This window comes from Homo sapiens, chromosome 9 (assembly GCF_000001405.40).
Source record: "Homo sapiens chromosome 9, GRCh38.p14 Primary Assembly".
NCBI classification, from domain to species: Eukaryota; Metazoa; Chordata; class Mammalia; order Primates; family Hominidae; genus Homo; species Homo sapiens.
The window spans coordinates 66,180,816-66,203,486 of NC_000009.12; the positions used below are offsets into that span (position 1 = coordinate 66,180,816).

At 42.0% G+C, this 22,671-nt stretch overlaps 1 pseudogene; it reads left to right on the forward strand.

Annotated features, from left to right (window-relative positions):
* On the forward strand, positions 1,509-8,281 carry MEP1AP3 (meprin A subunit alpha pseudogene 3; annotated as a pseudogene).

Genomic DNA, 22,671 nt, shown 5'->3' on the forward strand with positions numbered 1-22,671 from the left:
GCAAACATCCCATGATTAATTTAGTTTCTTACACTGCTGTGCTTTGTGTTTCATTGAATTCAGAGTATGCCTGTGTACGGTCCCTGGGAACACTGTATGAAAGGATTTTTAAAGTAGTCTGTTCTGATACTGGTTTGTCAATGAAACTTTTCAAAAAGGTTAGTTGAATATCACTTAGTGTTCTTTATGTGACCCTCTTGGGTCTCCTTCCCAGTGCCAAATTCCCCCATCTCAACCTCATTTGGACATCCTATATTAAGAAAAAACAAAGCAGGTACTCATCAGCAGGAACGGAATCCTATTCTCTTGACAGAATTCCCGTGATCTATAACCTGCTGGATAAATAGTTCAAATGCTGTATCTCTGTTCCTATTCCTAGACTTTCTGGCACCTATTACCCTTCAAGTCCATGTGTCTTCCAGTAGGTTGCAGTGCTCTCCCCAGGAGATGGCAGCTACCTAGATTTGTATGTTACAGAGGTGGTCGTGTGCCTTCTCTACCTCTCTCCTATGTTCCCATGTAACCTAACCACACAGGCCATAATCAGCTCCACCCTAGGAAACATAACATTGGTACACCTGTCCCTTGAAGTTGTCCTTAGAGAGAATGGTCTGAAAACAAAGGGAGATTAAAGGTCTTTTCTGTTTCAGGGAAAGTATAGTTCTGTCAGTGGATTTCTGGTTAAAAGACACAGAAGAAGGAAAAAAGACACTCATCTGTAGGAACTCAGTTTAGCCAATGTGACTTCCACTTGGAAGCATTTTTCCTCTCCTCTTCAAGCCCAACTCTAGGGAATGTCCTGTGCAAAAATATCAGTGTAGGCGCATCTCTTTGCGGAACTGAGTTGCTCTGCTTTCAGTTTCCTCTCTCCAGTGCCCCCAAGCTCCTGCCTGGCTTCTTCTGCTGTTCAACCCAGGATCCCATGCTCTAGGACAGCCTTCTCACCATCTTTCTTCAGCTCTTAATTCAAAAGTCCCACTTCCAGTTCATGCTCAGAGAAAAAGCAAGTAGACCTAATCTTTATTAGAATGTGAATTTCTAGACAATAGTACTCTCTTTGGCTTACTTCACTGCCCTACGTGCTGAACTTTCAGATAATATAAGGAAGAGAAAAAAGTCTAGATGTTGGAGAGGGAGTCGGTTTCATTTTATACGATTCAGCCTAATGGGCTTTCATTGCTAACATTAGGGGTTACAGTTGAACCAGCCAACTCAGGAGGAAATTCAGAACCTGGATTCTTATAGTGATAGTGGAAAACAAATTCATGGTTAAGATTTGAATGTGAATTTTAAAATAAATCATAGTATTTTAAAAAACCATTTTTTCCTTATTAAATATGTAACTTTGGAAAAGTTACTTAACCAGTTCATAATAGTACCTATTTTATAGGGCTGCTGTGGGGATTTAATGAGATCATTTATGGAAAGCACATGGCACTGTGCCACACTCATAATAAGTACTCATTCAGTGTTGGCCACAATTCTCACCAGCCTTGTTCTCTGTCCTCAGGAGATGATGACCATAATTGGAAAATTGCCCATGTGGTACTCAAAGAGGAACAGGAATTTCGCTAACTTTTCCAGGGCACAAAAGGCGACCCTCGGAACTCAACTGGGGGAATTTACCTGGATGACATCACTCTTGACAGAAACCCCCTGCCCCACAGGGGTCTGGACAGTCCAGAATTTCTCCCAGGTCCTTGAGAACACCAGCGAAGGGGACAAGCTTCAGAGCCCTCGATTCTACAATTCAGAGGGATGCGGTTTTGGGTTAACTTTATACCCCCATGGCAGAGAAAGCTCTGGCTATTTGAGACTTGCTTTTTACATGTGCAGTGGGGAGAATGATGCTATCCTGGAGTGGCCGGTAGAAAACAGACAGGTGATAATTACCATCTTCGACCAGGACCTGATGTCAGGAACAGGATGTCCTTAAGTTTGGTGTTCACTACCTCCAAGTTGCACATATCTCCAGGTGGGTGGTGTTGGCATAAATAAGAACTGCCCCTCGAACCAGAGAGGCCCACAGATGTGATTCTGTGGTGCAAGAAAGAGTAACGTTCTCCTCACATTTTCCGCCTGGGAATACCGATAACATAGGCGTGTTGGAGTTTCAAGTTAAGATTTTCAATGCCATCACATCCTCCTTCCCTTTCCTAAATTCACTCATCAAACATCTGTTGAGGGCTTACCATGTGCCAAACTCTGTGCTAGGTACTTACAATACAAGTGAATCAGGTGATCCCTGCCTCATTGATCTCATTGTGATTGAGGAAACAGATACTGCTAATCATTTATCAAATACTCGGAACTTGCTAGGCTCTGTGCAGAGCTAATGTACTTACTCCTAAAATAGCACTCAATATCACTATGTTCATGAAATAAACTTACATCAGTAAAGAAATGGGAAAACTATTTTTTTTTTTTTTTGAGATGGAGTCTCGCTCTGTCACCCAGGCTGGAATGTAATGGCGCAATCTTGGCTCACTGCAACCTCCACCTCCCAGGTTCAAGCAATTCTCCTATTGCAGACTCCCGAGTAGAGAAGGGGTTTCACCCTGTTGCCCAGGCTGGTCTTGAACTCCTGAGCTCAGGCAATCAACTTGCCTCAGCCTTCCAAAGTGCTAGGATTACAGACATGAACCACCACACCTGGCACTATTTTTTTTTTTCAAAAGAGAAGACCTAAGCCTCAGAAGAAAGAAGCCATAGCTGTCCCTCTCTTTTCATTAAAAAAGTCACGCAGTAGCAGACAACTGATCACTCAGAGCTGTGATTCTCTGCTTCTCCCATCTTTCAATTCTGAATTGCAATTCTCCTGGAAAGAGTAAATAGCTTAATTTTTTTCCAACACTTTTTTTATTTTTATTTTTATTTATTTATTTTTTTCTGATTCACAAAGCCCTGTATCCTCATAAAAGACAAACTGGAAAGTGAAGTCTAAAGAGGTAATGTGATTTTATGTTACCTACAATTTTGCAGCGACAAATGACACTGTCATCTGGGACAGGCCGTCCAGGGTGGGAACCTATCATGCTGACTGTAATTGTTTTAGAAGCATTGACTTTGGCTGGAGTGGTTTCATCTCCCACCAAATGCTGAAAAGGAGGAGTTTCCTGAAAAATGATGACCTCATCATGTTTGTGGACTTTGAAGGTACTTTTCTTGGTCTTCCTGAGTAAATAATCCTATGCTCTTGGCACTCTACTGATTTTATCCTGATTTTAAAGCACACATGGAGGGTGGGGATGAGGTTAAAAAAAATGTGTTGTAGGAGAACCACATTTTCTTCAATTGGTCAAGGACTCACATCTTTATTTTAACTGTCCCTGAAAGAAACTGAAATTTTAGTGTCATCTTTTTGAAAATTTTATCAGAGGTAACAGTTCACTGATTTCAATTTAGTTTCCATCAGTCTATCCATGCTAACTTTATGCTTCATTTTGCAAATTCAATAAATAAAAATGTGACTGGATTACTTTAAAATAAAACTAGCTAGTACCGTGGGAATCAGCTGGATTCAAAGCCACTTTTCCATGTCACTGGGGGTGACATATCACTAGAGATAGAAGCAGGCTGGGGAACTTTCACCAGAAGTGGGAGTTCGCTGTAGTCAGTTACTAATCCTGGATCTTCCTCGTGACCCTCTATTTCCTGAAGATATCACCCACCTCAGCCAGACTGAAGTTCCCACTAAAGGCAAAAGACTGAGCCCCCAAGGCCTCATTCTCCAAGGCCAGGAGCAGCAGGTCTCCAAAGAAGGTTCAGGAAAGGCCATGTTAGAGGAAGCTGTACCTGTCAGCCTCAGCCAGGGGCAGCCCGGCTGACAGAAGCCGTCAGTGAAGAACACAGGCCCCCTGGAGGACCATAACTGGCCACAGTACTTCAGAGACCCATGTGACCCAAACCCTTGCCAAAATGATGGCATCTGTGTGAACCTGAAGCGGGTGGCGAGGTGCAGGTAGGCTCTGTGGCCGGGGAGACAGGCAGGCCAGCAGACCTGGGCCGTGTGCATGCTTATGCCTGGTAAAGGCTGCTGTTTGCAGAGTAGGGCGAAGACTACCTCAGATGGTCAGCTGGATGCGGTTTTCCTTGACTCTACAAAGGTGTGCCCTGGATTCATGGGCTTACGCTGCCAGGACAGAGGCGTCCCAGGTCTCCTTGTCTCTTGACTTTCACCCCTTTTCCTCCTCTGGGGTATTGTCAACAGCATCTTGGATGTTGTTGGAATTTCTAACTCTAACAACATCCAAGATGGCTTCTAGCCTAGGGACTTTCTACTCCATGACAGTGGGTCTCAAGACCAAGCTTAAATCTTTGCTGACTACACAGATGTTATTATTAGCTCCTAATGATTATTAGTTATACAGTCTGTCATTTACACTGCACTATTATTAAAGTTATGTTTTCAATAATAGTAGTAAGAACACCTGATATTTCTGACCCCTTGTTATGCATCATGTGGTCTCCTGAGCATCTTACACGCATGATCTAAATTCATTCTCACTGCCACCTGTGACATAAGGGCTCTCCTTATCCCCATTTGGTGTATCAAGAAGTTGAGGCTTAGAAAGGTTAAGTAATTTATCTAAAATGTACCCAGATGGAAAATGCTGAAGCTGGGACTTGCATCTAGGTCTGTCTGGCAGCACAGTTTGCTATATTTAATGTTTAAATATTAAAAAGCAGTACAGTTTGCTATATTTAAATTTGAATATTTAAAAAGAACTTTAATAGTTCTTTTTATAATGTTTGCTTGCATAAAACCCTAAAAACTGTTTCACAAAAGGAGGTATGTGATGACAGAAGCAACAGTTCCATTTGAACAGTAGCAGATGTAGGAGCTATTCTGCCTACCTCAAAAATTTACATTACTTCTGAGTTCTTTTTAGTCTCCTTTTTTTTCTTTTTGTAGCTTTTGCTTTGAAATAATTTTAGACTTACAGATACCTTGCGAAAATACTACAGAGGCTTTCTCTATACCATTCACCCTGCTTTCCGTAATGTTGGCATATTACACAAACCGTAGTACAATTAGCATAGCCAAGAAATGAACATTGGTAGAATGCTAGTAAATAAATTACAGGCCTTATTCGGCTCTTCTCAGTTCTCCCACTAATGTTCTTTTTCTATTTCAGGATCCAATTCCGGATCTCACGTTACATTTAGTTTTTATGTCTCCTGTCTCCTAATCCCCTCCAATCTGGGACAATTACTCAGTTCTTTCTTGTCTTTCATTACCTTGACACTTTTGAAGATTACTGGTTAGGGATTTTTTTTTGGTTCATCTTGTTCTCTCATGATTAAATTGAGGTTTCACATTTGTGGCAAGATTAGTAAATATGTGCTGTGCCTTCTTGTTGCATCATGTGAGCAGGTACATGATGCCGATACATGTCATTACTGGTGATGTCAACCTTCATCATCTGGCCAACAGCATGTCCACCAGGCCTCTCCACTGAAGAGTTACCATTTCTCCCTCGGTAATTGATACATATCTTGGGAGAGATAGTTCAAGACCATTGAGACATCCTGCTTTTCCTCAAATCCTCACATGCTAATTTCAGCATCTATTGATACAACCTGCTGCAATATTCACCACTGGGATCTTCTAATGTTGATTTCCTATGTCCTTCACATTCATTAATTAGAATTCTTCTGTAAAGAAGAATGGCCCCTTCACCCCGTTAATTTGTTTATGTGATTATTTATGTATATCACAAAGGAATCATAAACATTTATTTTATTCAGTGGGCTCTGTTGCAATGATTTCATAATTTATTTTGTTGCTTCTATTGTCCCAGCTTTGGCCTTTGGGAGCTCTTCCAGGTTGGCTCCTGTGATCTTTCAACATCAGATTTTATGAACACAATGTTACTTTCTGGCACCATAGCATGCTCTAGGCTCATCTTTTATATTTCCTGCCCCACCCATAGAATCAATCACTCTTCCAAGAAGCCCTCTGGCTCCTTTTACTGGGGAAGGCCCATCTGTTTCTGGGCTCCAAAGCCATGGGTCTTCATATCTTTGCCTGACAGGTCCTTAGATGCCAGATTCCATTGTGTGCCCCCAACACGCTTCATCCTTCCCAGGCTAAGGGAGGCCAGGGTTGCCACTTGTATGTCAGCCTCTACTCAGCCAAACTATTCCTCTCCTAGAAACCTGCAGCTGAGAGTTGGCAGAATAAGTTTTTCTAAGATAACAGTAGGGGATATTACGAAGTTGTGTTTGGAGGGGACTGGGTCAGAAAAAAAATGAAATAAACTTGCTATTACTCACTGATTTCTAAGAAGTCAATTCTCAGGATAGAGATGAGGACTTGGAAGGTAAAATCATTCAGGATTAGTAAAAGAAAATGCTGACTTCTTTTTTTTTTTTTTTTTTTTTTTGAGACACAGTTTTGCTCTTGTCACCCAGGCTGGAGTGCAATGGCACAATTTCAGCTCACTGCAACTTCGACCTCCCGGGTTCAAGCAATTCTCCTGCCTCAGCCTCCCGAGTAGCTGGGATTACAGGTGCCCACCACCATGTCTGGCTATTTTTGTTGTTGTTGTTATTTTTAATAGAGATGAGACCATGTTGGCCAGTCTGGTTTCGCCATTTTGGCCAGGCTGGTCTCAAACTCCTGACCTCAGGTGATCCACCTGGCCTCCCAAAGTGCTGGGATTACAGGCGTGTGCCACCATGCCCAGCCAGAAAATGCTGACTTCTGATTGTTTCACTCTGCCTTGTAGAATTCTGCTGAGTAGACCTTCTAGTGGGAATGTTTGAAACAAAGGCTGGAATTTTTACAAAGGTATGGATGAGACACTACAAGTTATATGCCTTGGTTATGAGATTAATTCGTCTTTATACCAGATAACATTAAGAAACAAAACTAAGGGCTGGCCATTATGTGCTTACTCTGTGTCAAATACCTTGATAGGTACAATGTCCTCATTATCTCAGGTGAACTTCAGGGCAACCTTGTGAGATAGTGACAGTACACACTAACCTTACAGTAACATTTTATTTAATATTATTTAGACGTTTTCAAGCTACCACTGATGCTCTAAGTCAGACTGTATCTGGGGAATTTCCTTTGTAGCTTGTATTCTTAGCCAGTGTCAGGCAATGTATTCCTTTAAGTGTCTCAGACCATCCTCCTGAATCCTAGGTGGCTGAGAAGCCTGGATCTGGAGGCATACCTCTTGGGATTAGATTTCAAGTGTGAAATGCTTACTAACAATGGGACCTTGAGCAAATTATTTAACCTTCCTGTAAGATGAAGATGATGAGAATGGCCAAGTAATAGCCTCCACCTCAAAAGTTGTTGAAGGGTTAAATTAGTTGGTCCATATACAGCACTTGAAATGGGACCAGGCACCACGTGGACCTGCTCAGTGAGCGTTTGCCATTTTTATTGCTGTGGAGATGAGTGTTGCTAGGAGGCACCTGAGGCCTGGGAGTTCCCACACTCTCTTCATGTCCTTTTCCCTCAGGTGCATCTCTGGACATGCTTTCTTCTAAATGGGAGCGCTGTCAGGCCATGCAGTTGCACGGCAGCGTCCTGGGCATGGTGATTGGAGGCACGGCTGGTGTGATCTTCTTGACCTTCTCCATCATTGCCATCCTTTCCCAAAGGCCAAGGAAGTGACCTGCCTGTTGGCATTGGCCAGACCACAGCAGCACCTCCTCCATGCAGGCCTTACCTTCCAATGGTCAGTGCAGTTTGGGGCAGCTTTTTTGTCAGCCTTGCTTTGGATAGGATCTCCAAGGTCTAAGGCCTCCAGCCCCATGTGTGACCCTTGTCATCTTTCTGCCCCACATAATTCTGTTACTCTGCTATGTGCTCCTAATGTATCTAGTGTGTCCTGTGACAACATTCATCATACTTCATTGTAAACCACTTGTTTGATTGACTGTCTTTCCTATAGACTGTAAGCCCCATGAGGGCAGGCACATGTTGTTATTGACCATGCTGGCCACGTGCCTAGATGCATGGCTGGCACATTGTGGGCACTCAACAATGGTTGAATGAATAAAACAATAAATGAATGAATAAGATATAGAAACTCTCATTTATATTGCAGATCAAATATATATTATGAAATTCTTATGTTGAATATGTTAGAATCAAATACTCATTTTTCATTAGACACAGTACTGTCATTACTCTTTTAAGATCTTGTTAAAGATTTCAAATAAAGGTACTTCCAGGCAGGCTGGCTTCACAGCATTTGCTTTCCTCTGAGATTCTAAGAGAAGCCCTTTAATAAATTTAATAAATATTGAGTTAGCACCTTCTTTGTATCTGGTATTGTATGTACGTGTGGGTGTGCATGTGTGTGTTGAAGGTTGGGGGTGTTCAAAAGCTCTTTCCCAGATCTTTTAAGTTTAACAGTATATTTTATAGCTATTTATGTACAACATTATCATATTAACAAACAGAAGGTATCAGAGAACTTTAAAGAAGTATTTTTAGATATGCTTTCTTTCCATAGTTCCTAAGGAGATAAAAATCTAGCTGGGGCAAGGAAGTTCCAAGATAGATCAAGTGAAAAAAAAAAAAAAAAAAAAAAAAAGCTAAAGTTTCTATACCCAATCAGCAATGAGTCAGCTCAGGAAATTTAACAAACAAAAATATTTTAAGGATTCTGAGTGGTCCTTTAAGTTATAAGGTTTCCTAAGTAGAGACTTTATGACAATTTTGTAGAGTTAAAATGCACTGGAAACAAAATGAGAGATTAACAAGAGTTTCTTTAATGCAAAGGTATGAGAACAATTTGTAGCAAGTGAAAACAGCACCCCTGAGGGCAATACCTCTCAAACTTGAGGTGCATCTGTATCCCAGGGAGGACTGATTAAAACAGATTACAGGGCCCCACACTTTACAAACCTCCACTTTCAGTAGAGCCTCCAGGTCCCTCCCAAGAGCTTCCGTAAGTCACCACAACCCAAGAGGACCAGGGAGATTCCCTCATGCAGATGTTCCCAGACCATGCATGTGATGGCATGTGGAGGGCTTCCCACCTTGACATCTTCCTGTCCTCTGTAGAAACTGGGTCAGTAGATCTAGGGTGAGATCTAAGAATGTACATTCTTAAATGTGCCAGGATCTAACAAGGTATAAGAATGTGCCAGAATCTAATAAGTTCTCAGGCCATGCTGCTACTGCTACTGACTCCCCCACAACCCCCACCTCACAGACACCTTGAGAACCACTGCTCTAGTGGATAGAAAACAAGTCTGGAAGCCAAGCATCCTGGCTGCAGGCTTGGATTGCCCATCCAGCTGGCTGGGTAATTTTAGTAAGAAATCATTTAAGCTCTTGATCTTAGTTTACTAACTTGTCAAATGGAAATAATAGCTGACTATCTCCTTCCACATGACTTTACTACTTACAGAGTAGCAGAGTAATACAATGGGATAATGAATATGAACCTATCTTAGAGTTTAATATGTATGAAAATATTACTATTCAATGTTCAGACTAGATAGGAAGCTATCCTGTCACCAGCCCAGTTGTATTATCTCCAAAGTCCAGATTGGAAATGGATTCCAGCTTTGTTTCTCGCTGTGCTTCACAGTCCTGCAAACCCTCCACTAACCTCATAGTTAGGCCTAAAGAAAGCTATGCCCTTAACACTCTGCTGAGTATCTGACCTCAGAAGTGAACTCTAGGCTTTGTTGCTGCTGCTGCTGTTATTGTCCTTTGGTTTTATTAAAAGGAACATGCTGTGGTCTGTCTCACATGGAAAGGTCCCTAGCCCAAACCAATGACAACATTTCTTAAATATATGAGTTTCTCTCTGGAAGAAGCAGAAGCTCAAATTTCAAAGATAACCTAGTATTTTCATCTAGTACTGCAAATTAAAACTGCTAGGTCAAAATAATGATAAGGAGGTACCAGAATGAGGGTAAAGCATTTTGATATTTATTTCTCTCTAGATTCTCAACCAGTACCATGCCTACTATCTATCTTTATCACTTTTGGTGATTAATGGTCACCTCAGTTGATTAATGATCTGGCTCACCATAAATCTGACATGGTATTCAGCTTTTCTTTGAGCCCAAACCCTCAATCATTCCAGGAGGACTAGCAGATACTTTATTCTTTTGAGGTGTTGGGATGGTGATGGCAAAGTGGGCATGTAGGATGGGGAGTGGGTAGAAATTAAGCATTTCATAATCTCTAGGCAGTATGGAATTTGGGATTTAGATGAGCAACATGAAAAATGTGGGAAATCCTCCCTGAATCTGAGTGTCTGACTTCTTTAATCTTACATAGTGGGAATAAGTCATAGTGGCTTGAAATTTTGAAAATGTCTCATGCTTCCCACACCATATCCTTGATACATCCCCATCTGCATCCTTTCCTTCTGTGAACTGAGCTGAGCCAATCTGGCCATTCACAAATGTCAGGTTCTTTCAGTAATATCTGGAGCCTCTGATAATTAGAAGTGGATGGGAACTCTAACCCCCTCTCTGATTATGTTAAAATGAATCAAGATTTGAACTAAATTCTGCTACACATTCATATTTGTTAACCATTGTTGTGGGAAGTCAGGGACTCTGAACGGAGGGACCAGCTGGAGCTGCGGCAGAAGAACATCAGTTGTGAAGATTTCATGGCCATGTATCAGTTCCCAAAATTGCTACTTTTATAATTTCTTACGCCTGTCTTTACTGCAGCCTCTGAACATAAATTGTGAAGATTTCATGGACATTTATCACTTCCCTAATAATAGTCTTATAATTTCTTATGTCTGTCTTTACTCTCTTAATCCCATTATCTTCATAAGCTGAGAATGTATGTCACCTCAGGACCACTATTGTACAAATAGATTGTAAAACATGTGTGTTTGAACAATGTGAAATCAGTGCACCTTGAAAAAGAACAGAATAACAGCGATTTTCAGGGAACAAGGGAAGATAACCATAAGGTCTGACTGCCTGCAGGGTCAGGCAGAATAGAACTGTATTTTTCTTCTTGCAGAGAGCATATAAACAGATGTGCAAGTAGGAGAGATATTGCTGAATTCTTTTCCCAGCAAGGAATACCTTGGGGAAGGAATGCATTCCTGGGGGGAGGTCTATAAATGGCCGCTCTGGAAGTGTCTGTCTTATGTGGTTGAGATGAGGACTGAAATATTCCCTGGTCTCCTGCAGTACCCTCAGGCTTACTAGGATTGGAAAATTCCAGCCTGGTAAATTTTGGTCAAACTGGTTCTCTGCTCTCGAACCCTGTTTTCTGTTAAGATGTTTATTAAGACAGTATGTGCACAGTGGGACATAGATCCTTATCAGTAATTCTAATTTTGCCTTTGCCTTGTGATCTTTATTGCCCTTTGAAGCATGTGATCTTTGTGACCTTCTCTTTGTTTGTACACCCCCTCCGCTTTTAAAATCCTAATAAAAACTTACTGGTTTTGTGGCTCAGGGGACATAACGGACCTCCCAATATGTGATGTTACCCCCAGAGGCCCAGCTGTAAAATTCCTCCTTTGTGCTCTTTCTCTTTATTTCTCAGACCAGCCAACACTTAGGGAAAATAGAAAGAACTTGCATTGAAATATTGGAGTCTGGTTCCCCCGATAAACCAACAAACCCACAAATAGCCATCCAACCTGTTTTGTATGTGTAGGGAAGTCTCTGCTCTGTCCTTTTAAGTGCTCCAGCACCAAGCCTCTTGGATTAAAGGTTCATTCTACACACATGCATTCAAATAATCTGAAGGCCAGGATCAGTCAACTCTCTACCCTAGGGTTTCTGAACCTCAGCCCTGGTGATATTTTGAGCTGGATATTCTTTTCTGTGAGGGCTGTTCTCTGCATTGTGATATGTTTAGTGGCATCCCTGGCCTCTACTTACTTTATGCTCATAGCACACTTCCCCAGTAGTGACAATCCCAAATCTCTAAGACATTGACAAATGTCCCCCAAGGGGCAAAATCATTACTGATTGGGAATCACTGCTCTAGTTGGATGAGCCAATGAAAACTTGTATTAAGTGAGTGAAAACTAGGACCAAATAGAGTTCTAGTCAAAGGTTCTACCCCAAAAGTTAGTTCACTGGGCCTGCCAAAGTATTGTACCTATAGCTATCTTGATAATTGTATTTAACCAATGCAAAAATTATTTTAAGCATCCTTTATACTAATAACAAACCCTCTGGTATAGCTTGCTATAGAAATATTTAAAGTTTTGCAACAGATATTTCTCCAGTAGAGACTTTTGATTAGGATCTTTCAAATACTAACTAACTGCTATTGGAGTGTGTATTCCTTTTCAGAATACTTTGCATACTATTTAACCTCCCCCAGGGTGTGGATTATAGTCCCCCTGCAGGCTGTATACAGTGTAATACCTATATGGAGACATTTACAAGCAAATTACAGATGATCTCACACCTTCCCTTCTTGAGCTCCTCCTTTCTCATGAATTATATCATCTGTTTTATGGCTTGATGAAATTTTTAGAGATTCTGAAGTCCACCTCTTGTATTTGGGTAAACTGAGGCAATTCTGGAGAGGCTAAGTGCCTTAGGCAGGTCACAGAGCCACTTAATAGCAGAATCTATTATTCTTGTTTGACTACAGAAAACCTTAATAAGATTAGAGGTTTGGAAGGTGCTATAAAATATAGGCAAATCTATATTGAACACTATGTAAAGGTCTTTTTTACTTGGTTTCCCTTATTAGGGATATCAGGTTTATGGATGATTTGTCACCTACTCAAATTTCTATATGTTTATAAATATGGCTAAAACATCTTTCTTATGCCAATTTTAATATAAGTATGTTTTTCAAAAGTCTCTAAGCAAAGAAAAGTTTGAAAAGATTTATAGTTATCCTGTAGCTGTGAGTGTCATTTAGCAGACTCTTGAAAACCCTAATGAATGGGGGATGGGAGATAATGGAGTCAGGTGCCAGTGACCTCTAATGAGTACTGATGTGAAAAAATATGATAGGAAATATTTGATATGGGTAAGGCAGCCTAACAGGATGTGTGTGTGTGTGTGTGTGTGTGTGTGTGTGTAAGAGTTGCAGCTAACAGTGATATCAGAGTAAAGACAAGACCCATCTCTCTTTGCCTTCCACAATTTTACCAAGGACTAGTCCTGGAATCCCAGAATGGATTGAGACATGGGCCTCATCTGGGTCACAGCATCCCTCAGGGCCTAGACAAATTTAGGACAAATTGACCCATGTGTGGCTCACCAGCTCAATGAAAATCATTAAAAACATTTAAAGATCCTATCTGGTCAAGAGAATAAAGGGAGAATAGAAAAATGGGGTCATAAGAAAGGTATGAGAAGAGAGCAGGAGGCAGAGGAGATGTTCAGATATCAGCCCCCAACAAAAATGGTCACCAACATCCATTCTTCTTTTCTCAGTAATAGAATCCCCAAACTCCAACTGGTCAAATGGCTACTCAGAGTCTAGTTTACCTTCTCCTGCTTCCTTTGCAGGTAGATGGGTGATATGGTTTGTCTCTGTGTCCCCACCCAAATCTCATCTTGAATTGTAATCCCCACGTGTGGAGGGAGGGAACTGGTGAGAGGTTATTGGATCATGGGGGTGGCTTCCCCCATGCTGTTCTTGTGATAGTGAGTGAGTTCTCATGAAAGCTGATGGTTTTAAAGTGTGGCACACCTCCTTGTTCTCTCACTTTTCAAGTCTTGCTACCATGTAAGACGTGCCTTGCTTCCGCTTTGCTTTCCACTATGATTGTAAGTTTCCTGAGGCTTCCCCAGCCTTGCAGAATTGCTAGTCAATTAAACCTCTTTCCTTTATAAATTACCCAGTCTCAGGTAGTTCTTTATAGCAGCGTGAAAGCAGACTGATACAGTGAGGTAGTGTGATCAAATTCAGGCCAGTGGAATGGAAGAAGGAATGTTGCATGTGAGCTTCTGGGAACCTTTCCTAAAGGAGTCTTGGTGCACACCTGTAGTCCCTTCTTCTATCCTAATGACTGATAAGGGGATGTAATGGCCAGAGTGAGAGCTGCCAAATGGGGCCACGTGGTGACCTTGGCAAAAGCAGATTAAAAAAATAGAAAGTATCTGGATTTCTGAGGACTGCACCGAGCCAGGCTGCCACACCAGTCTTGGGCTGCTTATCTGTGTTAGAGAAATAAACTTCTACTTTAAGTCGCTATTATTTTGAATGTCTGGCATTCACAGAAAACATGATCCTAATGGATATAATTATTTCTATGGGGCCAGCACATGGCTCAGACTAAGCCAATCATGATACCCTGTACTGCCACATATACCTGAACATTTGGAGAAGAAAAGGGTTAGTCTTCTCAATCTATCGGTCTGTGGACCTCATAAATTCCTCTCCTTGAAGATCTACCTTGGAATGAAATAAATACACAAAGAGAGGCAACAACACAAAAGGAAGAGCCAGAACTCTGAGAACACTGTTTGGGCACCTGAATCTAGCTGTACCTGAAGGTGTACCAATCTACTATCTTTCCCAGTTACGTGGTAAGTGCCCACTTTTGCTTAAACTAATTTGATTGTGGTTCTGTTACCTGTAACTGAGAAAGCCTTAATTAACACCACTGTTATAGTGCATAATTGGCTCATTTGTAAAGAAAAGAAATAATGAAATTAGTTTGAAGATTAAATAAAATTATGTAATATGTAAGATTACCAAAACTGATTTGAAATGCAGACATGGGGTAGTTAACCAGGCTCACACACTTGTTATGTGAATTACTCACCCATTCTGGCTTCATAATGAGCACGATTTAAACTCAAACCTTGATAAAGTTATGATTTAGGATGTCACGTACCTTTGACGTTACTCTCAAAAGCTCTTAACCATGAATTAAAAGTGACAATGTGAAAGGCATATGTAGTTTGATTCTGAATAGAACTGGCATCTAAATCTGAGTTCTGTCAAGATCTATCAAGAATTCTGAGTGTTGGATATTATTTAGACACATAGGAAGAAAGTATGACTTCTCAGAAATGAAGTGTAATTCTGAGGCTGTGTTTAAATATATCAGGAGGAGAATTGAAACATTTGCTCTAATAAATTTGGCTAAGTCATGATGCATGATGTATATATGTGTGTATGATATATATCTACTATAGTTTTTATGCACACACGGTAAGATGCAAAATAATAAAGGCTAACTTTATTCAGCAATAATTGCAAGCCAGATATGATTTTGTAGGCTTTATAAGAATTTTACAACAACCCATGGAGCATGTACCATTATTATTTCCTTTCACATAGTGTAAATTGAGGCAGAAAGAGTTATTTTACCAACAGTCAAACTAAGAAGTGGTGGACCTACAACTGAAAAGCACACAGTTTGGCTCTAGAACCAATGCTGTTAACCACCATACCACATTTGCCAAACTGGCTGTCAATCAATGCTGAAGAACAGCCCAATACCCCTGTCCATGCAAAATGAAGCAGAGAATGCAAAGCATTCAAGTAGCAAATCAGCTGCTGTTTCAGTCTGCATATCAGAAGGAAAATCATGACTTAGCTAAACGTATTAGGACAAATGTCCCAATTCTCCACTTGATATGTTTAAACATAGCCTCAGAATCACGCTTCATTTCTGGGAAGCCATATTGCCTTCCTACATGTCTAAATGCCATCCAACACGCCGAGAATTCTTGATAGATCTGAGACGAAAATAAAAACAACACTGGTGATTGAGACCTTACAAGAAGCTCACTTGACTGAAGACTCAAGCTGGGGGGGTCCACTAGATAACTAAGTTGAGATCTACTTTCAATAAAGCAGCACAGCAGGAATTCTTTGATGTTTCACCAGAGACTTAAAAAGGAAGTAGGCGCACTCTGAAGTTTGCCCAGAACATTGGTCATTATGTCCTGGGCTGCCCCAAGGTAGAATTATAAAGTGAGATGAAGCTTGGGGAAGCCTTAACTCCTCCAACCTCTCTGTCACTGTTGTTCTCCCTCTCATTTTTTGCATTTGAAACTCTTCCTGCTACGGAAGCCTACTTTTAAGCAAGTAACTGGCATCAGGTTGCATAGAGAAGCAATATAAGGTGGTGGATACATGCCCATGTTCTAGGTCAGACACTGCATTTAGATCCTGATTCTACTGGTCCTCAGCTGTGTGACTGTGGGCAAGTTATTTACCTCTCTGTGCTTAGCTTTTTCCTCTAAAAATGCAAAGAAAAAGAATATTTAGTTACTTTTGGTTTGCTATAGAGTTTAAATGAGATTATACGCATAAAAATCTTAGAACAGCAGCAGGTACACAGAAAGGGCTCAAAAAATGTTGGTTAATATAGTTATATAGTTACCAGCCATTTTCATTCGAGGGTAAATTTAAGTTACTGTGTTTCTCACCCAGAGGTGTATTTGCATACCTTTTCTCTCCTTGAGATTAACCTGAGATTAACCTTCTTAACTTTATCTGTCTTTGAGATTTCTGTTTTTGTAAAAGGAATGTCCAACATGAAGAAGAAGGTGTGAGAGCTATTCCGAGGGTATAGGAGCAACAGGCCAAGGTGCGTGACATCCCCCCAAACTGGGAAGCTGTCTGCCTCATTACTGAAGGCCAGTTCAGCTTGTCCCTCTACACCAAGGACCAACCCTGCTGGCAGTTGGCCCTGTTGACTTCTCCTGGGTCTTCTCGGGTCACACGTTAGCAATGTGTGCTCAGAGGATAGGAACTTGCCATCCAGCCTCAGCTGCTGGCTGGACTGTCAGATTGCCCTGGGATAGCTGCAGATTCATCTGCAGATTCATGATGGATTGAAAATGAAACTCCAGGCCAGCAGTGGCTTTCAATGGATGAATTAGGAAAGGGAATAGGACCACCTATGTTAATCCTTTTGCAGCTGCCTTGATGGAAAAAGTATTGGGTTAACATGAAACATGGAAGGCACCCATTTTTCTTCCTCAAACGACCTTCCAGCAGCCTATCTGGAATGGGTGAACCAGATCTTTTCTGGGGCTTTCAGCTTTGCTGTTAGTGCCATAAATGAGATTCAGTCAGTAAGAGGGGGACAGAGAAAGGAAGGAGCTATCTCAGCGAGTATGCCTCAGAAATGTATGCCTGCCTGCAGATGTGCTATGCACACTTGTAAACCAGTCTCTGAGACAGGTCTCAATCAACTTAGAAGTTTATTTTACCAAGGTTAAGAACATGCCTGGAATAATGGAACACACAATCACAGAGACAGCCTGTGGTCTGTGTCTTTCCGCAAAGATATTTTGAAGGTTTCAGTATTTAAAGGGGAAAAGTGGAGGCGAAAGAGGGAAGGTATGGCAACATGGCATAATCCATGCATTGCAGGAGAAAAGGAGCAGGTAGGAAAATAGTCAGTGATGTATTCATCTCAGTAAATCGGTACTTTACATAAAAGGTGAACCTAGTGTAGCTCTCTGTGGAGATATCTGGCCTTTCATCTGTTAGCTATTTGCTTAGCAATAGAAGGAAAAGGCTGTTTCTTGCATGGCTCAGCTTCCATCTTAATTTTTTCCTTTTTGCATAGTGATTGGGGGCCCGAAATTTCCTTTGCCTTTCACACACTGAAACGACGTGACTGGGATTTCCCTCCCTCCACAGTCCTACGTGGCTTTCTGACTACCCTTTCCCCTGTAAGGATCATAATATGAAAGTTAGGAGGCTGGAGTGAAAGAGATTTTTTTCATTTCTGGTTTCTGTTATCCACTATGCCTTGACCTTCGCTCTGCCCATATGATCAAATGACTTCCTGAACGTAGCCCACTGGGCGCGTCATCCGCGGGACTGACTCTGCCTCCCACGGGCTTCCTGAGGCCGGACCGCCGCGGGGACGCCTCCTCTCACGCCCACCAGGGGCGCGCGAGCCTCAGGAGACGCCAGCAGGGGTTGCGGAGCTGCGGTGCTGGAAGCCAGCTGTCACTCCAACCCAGCTGGAGATTCCTGTCGGGAATGCTTGGGATAGGACAGCTGTGAGGGAGCCCCTGGGGCATAGGAAAACCCTCACAGTTCCAGAAAAAAACAGAAAACGCATGCACAGTTTTTCTCGGTTAATCAAAGTCAAATTCCTTTTCCCACAACTGCTGGGGTGCCAGCTGGCTGGCAGGATGGAAGAACCAGGATGGCACCAATCAAAATCCGAAAAAGGCAGGGTCCAAAGTCATTCCTGGGTTTTGTTGTTTAATGTCATCGGAAGTGGGCCGTGACAGCAATCTGCCCACCACTTGCCCATTCAGGTCCTCTTGCCTTTCATACTGAGAATAAAGCCATTTTTCCCCCCGGGCTCCTGGGTTTGTTCTGTTTAGGCTTCAATAGTCACCGGCATCCTTCACATGGCTCTGCATGACAGAATAAAAACCCTGGGGTGGGAACAGGCTCATGTATCTCCTAACCATGCCACCATGTGTGCAGAGGGACCTGTCATGGACACTGGTGGCCTTTCAACTTCATTTCAAAGTTTACAGGTAAAAGGGGAAAAATGGGTGTGTATAAAATCATTTAAGAATAATCCCAGCACTTTGAGAGGCCGAAGCGGGTGGATCATGAGGTCAGGAGATCGAGACCATCCTGGCTAACACGGTGAAACCCCGTCTCTACTAAAAATACAAAAAAAAAAAAAAAAAAAAAAATTAGCCGGGCGTGGTAGCGGGCGCCTGTAGTCCCAGCTACTCCGGAGGCTGAGGCAGGAGAATGGCGTGAACCCTGGAGGCGGAGCTTGCAGTGAGCCGAGATGGCGCCACTGCACTCCAGCCTGGGGGACAGAGTGAGACTCCGTCTCAAAAAAAAAAAAAAAGAATAGACAGGACGGTTGTGTCTGAATCATAGGACACCACGACCAAGGCCCCCACGCCCACCCCGGACACGTACAGATGATATTTGGAGATCAGAACTTGTGTCTGGCATAGAGCGGACTTCGGGAGTTGCCCATCTCCCCTCTTTTCTTCTTCTGTCCACTAACAGTGGGAAACTTGGTTTCCGTCTAGAATGTGCTAGAGGATAAATAGAGCCCTCACATCCTTTATATTAATCTATAGGACATGAGGGCTCTATTTTCAGCTGTCAATGAAAATTTCAAGCCATCCTCACACAAATGTTGGAACAGGCATCTGTTTGTTCGCCAGACAACTGGTTCTGAAAACTTTACTTCAAGGACCCTTGTTTAAACCTTCTATAACGTGCTGGATCTTTGCACACGGCTTGGGAGTGCGGATGGTGTGAGGGAAGCCATCAGACCTGCCAGCCAGTTGAGCTCAGGGGCGAGCTGCCGGCCTCCCCCATACCTGGAAGATGGAAAGGATCGTTCGCTGTTTGGAGAATAGAGCTGCATTCTGGGTGACATGCAGAAGCCTGAGAGGCAGCAGCACCACATTGCAAGAAGGCAAACAATTGCTACAGAGACAGTGTTGCGGGAAGTCAGGGACCCCAAATGGAGGGACCGGCTGAAGCCATGGCAGAAGAACGTGGATTGTGAAGATTTTATGGACATTTATTAGTTCCCCAAATTAATACTTTTGTAATTTCTTATGCCTGTCTTTACTGCAATCTCTAAACATAAATTGTAAAGATTTCATGGACACTTATCACTTCCCCAATCAATACCCTTTTAATTTCCTATTCCTGTCTTTACTTTAATCTCTTAATCCTGTCAGTTGAGGAGGATGTATATCGTTCTAGGACCTTGTAATAATTGTGTTAACTACACAAATTGTACAGCATGTGTGTCTGAGCAATACGAAACGTGGGCACCCTGAAAAAAGAAGAGGATAACAGCAATTGTTCAGGGAATAAGAGAGATAACCTTAAACTCTGACCGCCGGTGAGCCGGGCAGAACAGAGCCATATTTCTCTTCTTTCAAAAGCAAATGGGAGAAATATCGCTGAATTCTTTTTTTCAGCACAGAACGTCCCTGAGAAAGAGAATGCGCACCTAGGGGTAGGTCTCTGAACTGGCCCCCCCAGGGCGTACCTGTCTCTTATGGTCGAGATTGCAGAGGTGAAATAAACTCCAGTCTCCCATAGCGCTCCCAGGCTTATTAGGAAGAGGAAATTCCCACCTAATAAATTTTGGTCAGACCGGTTGATCTCAAAACGCTGCCTCCTGATAAGATGTTATCAATGACAATGGTGCCCGAAACTTCATTAGCAATTTTAATTTCGCCTCCATCCTGTGGTCCTGTGATCTCGCCCTGCCTCCACTTGCCTTGTGATATTCTATTACCCTGTTAAGTACTTGATGTCTGTCACCCACACCTATTTGCACACTCCCTCCCCTTTTGAAAATCCCTAATAAAAACTTGCTGGTTTTTGTGGCTTGTGGGGCATCATAGATCCTACCAATGTGTGATGTCTCCCCCCGGACGCCCAGCTTTAAAATTTCTCTCTTTTGTACTCTGTCCTTTTATTTCTCAAGCCAGTCGACACTTAGGAAAATAGAAAAGAACCTACGTGATTATCGGGGCAGGTCCCCCGATAAGACAGCTCACGAGATCTCATTAGATATTTCATTGTTATAGTATGGAAAGGAAGCATATTTGTGTGCTGGTATACATGATGTGATTTTAAATCCCAAGTGATAATTTTAGAAACCAACAGAACCTAATATTAAAGCTAAACTACTGTCCTCTTGAAATGATGAGATGCTATTCCGGTTGCCCTTTTAAAAACACTATCAAGAGGTAAGTTCCCTGTAAGTTCCACCTTCATTTTGTACACTTAAAGAATCAGTCTTTTACTGGCCTGGGTCACTGGGTTTTCTCTTTTGGATGAGGAGGGCTTATTTGACTTCACCATCACATGGCACAAAATAAACGCATTCCACCTACCTGGCATTTCTAGGACCACCTATTTCTTTTTTTCTTCAAATGATTGTGACTTCCTGCTCCATTCACCTCAATAACTCACCCACACGTCCTTTCTATACTTACTAATTACTGTAATCTTTCTCATCTCCATGTAACTTTTTTTTTTTTCTGAAGCATTCCAACATGGATCTCTTTGAAATTCTCTATACAAACCACAAAAGGCCGTGACTTCCCACAGTCTTTCTGAATTTCTGGCCTTAGCAAAAACCTGAAAACCCCACAGACATTTATTTAACCATTTTCCCATGCAAACAATAAGAAGTGGGGGAGGAGGATAGCAGACATCTGGCTTACTCAAGAGATGATGTGTTAGTCTGGACTTAGAATATTCCCAGAGAATATTCCTATAATCTGTATTAGCTTCTCATTTGTGAATATTCTAACCTCACAGACTCTGACGCATTAGGACAAAGCCCTTTGCAAGAAACTGACTTAATGGAAAGCTCTTAATGCAAGAAAGTTTAGGCTCAGGGAATGGACTTTATACACTGAGAGATGTCAGGAACACAGGGAAGCACTGGGCACCTTACGAACAAAGTAGATCGCACAACTCCATGTGCCTTCATTCTCAGGAATCTGCTACTAATAGCCTTGTAATCATTACTGATTGAGAGATGGCAACCTCAGGGCCAAATGAGGCTCCTGCATTCATAAAATTCTCAGCTTCATAACTGCTGTTCTACAATTTTGAATTCTACTGTTCATTTTAGGATTTTCCCGGGAAAGGGTAGTGGCTGGGCTAACGTGTATTGCAGTGGGCAGAAAACCAGCAAGTGTTTCTCCAATTATTTGCTTTCATAGCTTTTCTGGAATTTGGACCCAGTGCTGTGGCTTGAAAGGGTGAAACACATGCATGTATGTGGCTTGAAAGGGTGAAACACATGCATGTATGTGCACATGTGCACATGTGTGCATGTGTGTATTTGTGTGTGTTGGGGATAAGGGAACATGCCCCAGTTAACGAATGGAGCAGTGGGCCAGATCCACATCCTGTGTAACTCCCACAGGCTCCTGCTACGATGAAAGTTCCCTTCACAGGGTTGAACACAGTGATTCCCCAAGGGATCCTGGCTGAAGTGGGTGGAAGTTCAGCGTTTCTTGTCCCACTGAATTTTTGAACATGACAACCACGTCCTGCTCCTGATACTGTGTGCTTTCCTTGATTGATCATGTCAAGATAGCCCTGCTAACATTGTGTTCCAAGCCTGGCTCGATTCTTCTTGATATAACTCCAGGAACCAAATCAGCCAAAGGCCTTCTTTCTCTAATTCTAATTCTAATTCAAGGGATTTCCCCCAACCCAACCTCTGTCTCCATCTTCTTAGTATCAAGCTCTGCCCAAAGTTGATCATTCCTGAAGAACAAGGCATGCATTTATAGCATAACAATGATTTCCTTTAGGGACTTTCAGTAATGCACCATTCATTTGGGACAGTGATGTGACAATTCTCAGGCAAATGTGGAAGTAGATGTCTATGTCATTTGTGAATATGTAGAAATAAAGAGTTCATTTACATCAACTGTCCCACCTCTGTCCCATACCTCTCCTTCCCCATGAAGAAAAGAGAGGCAGAAGTAGAATTTAAGTAGAATTTAAAATTAAAAATAAAAAGAAGATATTTTAAAGGGTTAAAATATTAAAAGAAAACTCCTTTGAACCTCAATAAAGAAATGGCTGTTGAATCTCAGCCTCTTTTGCCCCATCTTCCTAATGGCTGGGCCCATTTCTGTTGCCACACAGCCCACATATCCTAAGTAGCCCCACATCTCTATTTTTGTCTTATTCTCCTTTTGGGATCAGACTTTTATTTGCAATGTAGGGTTGCTGTATCCATAGCACATGGTTAACTCTAATAT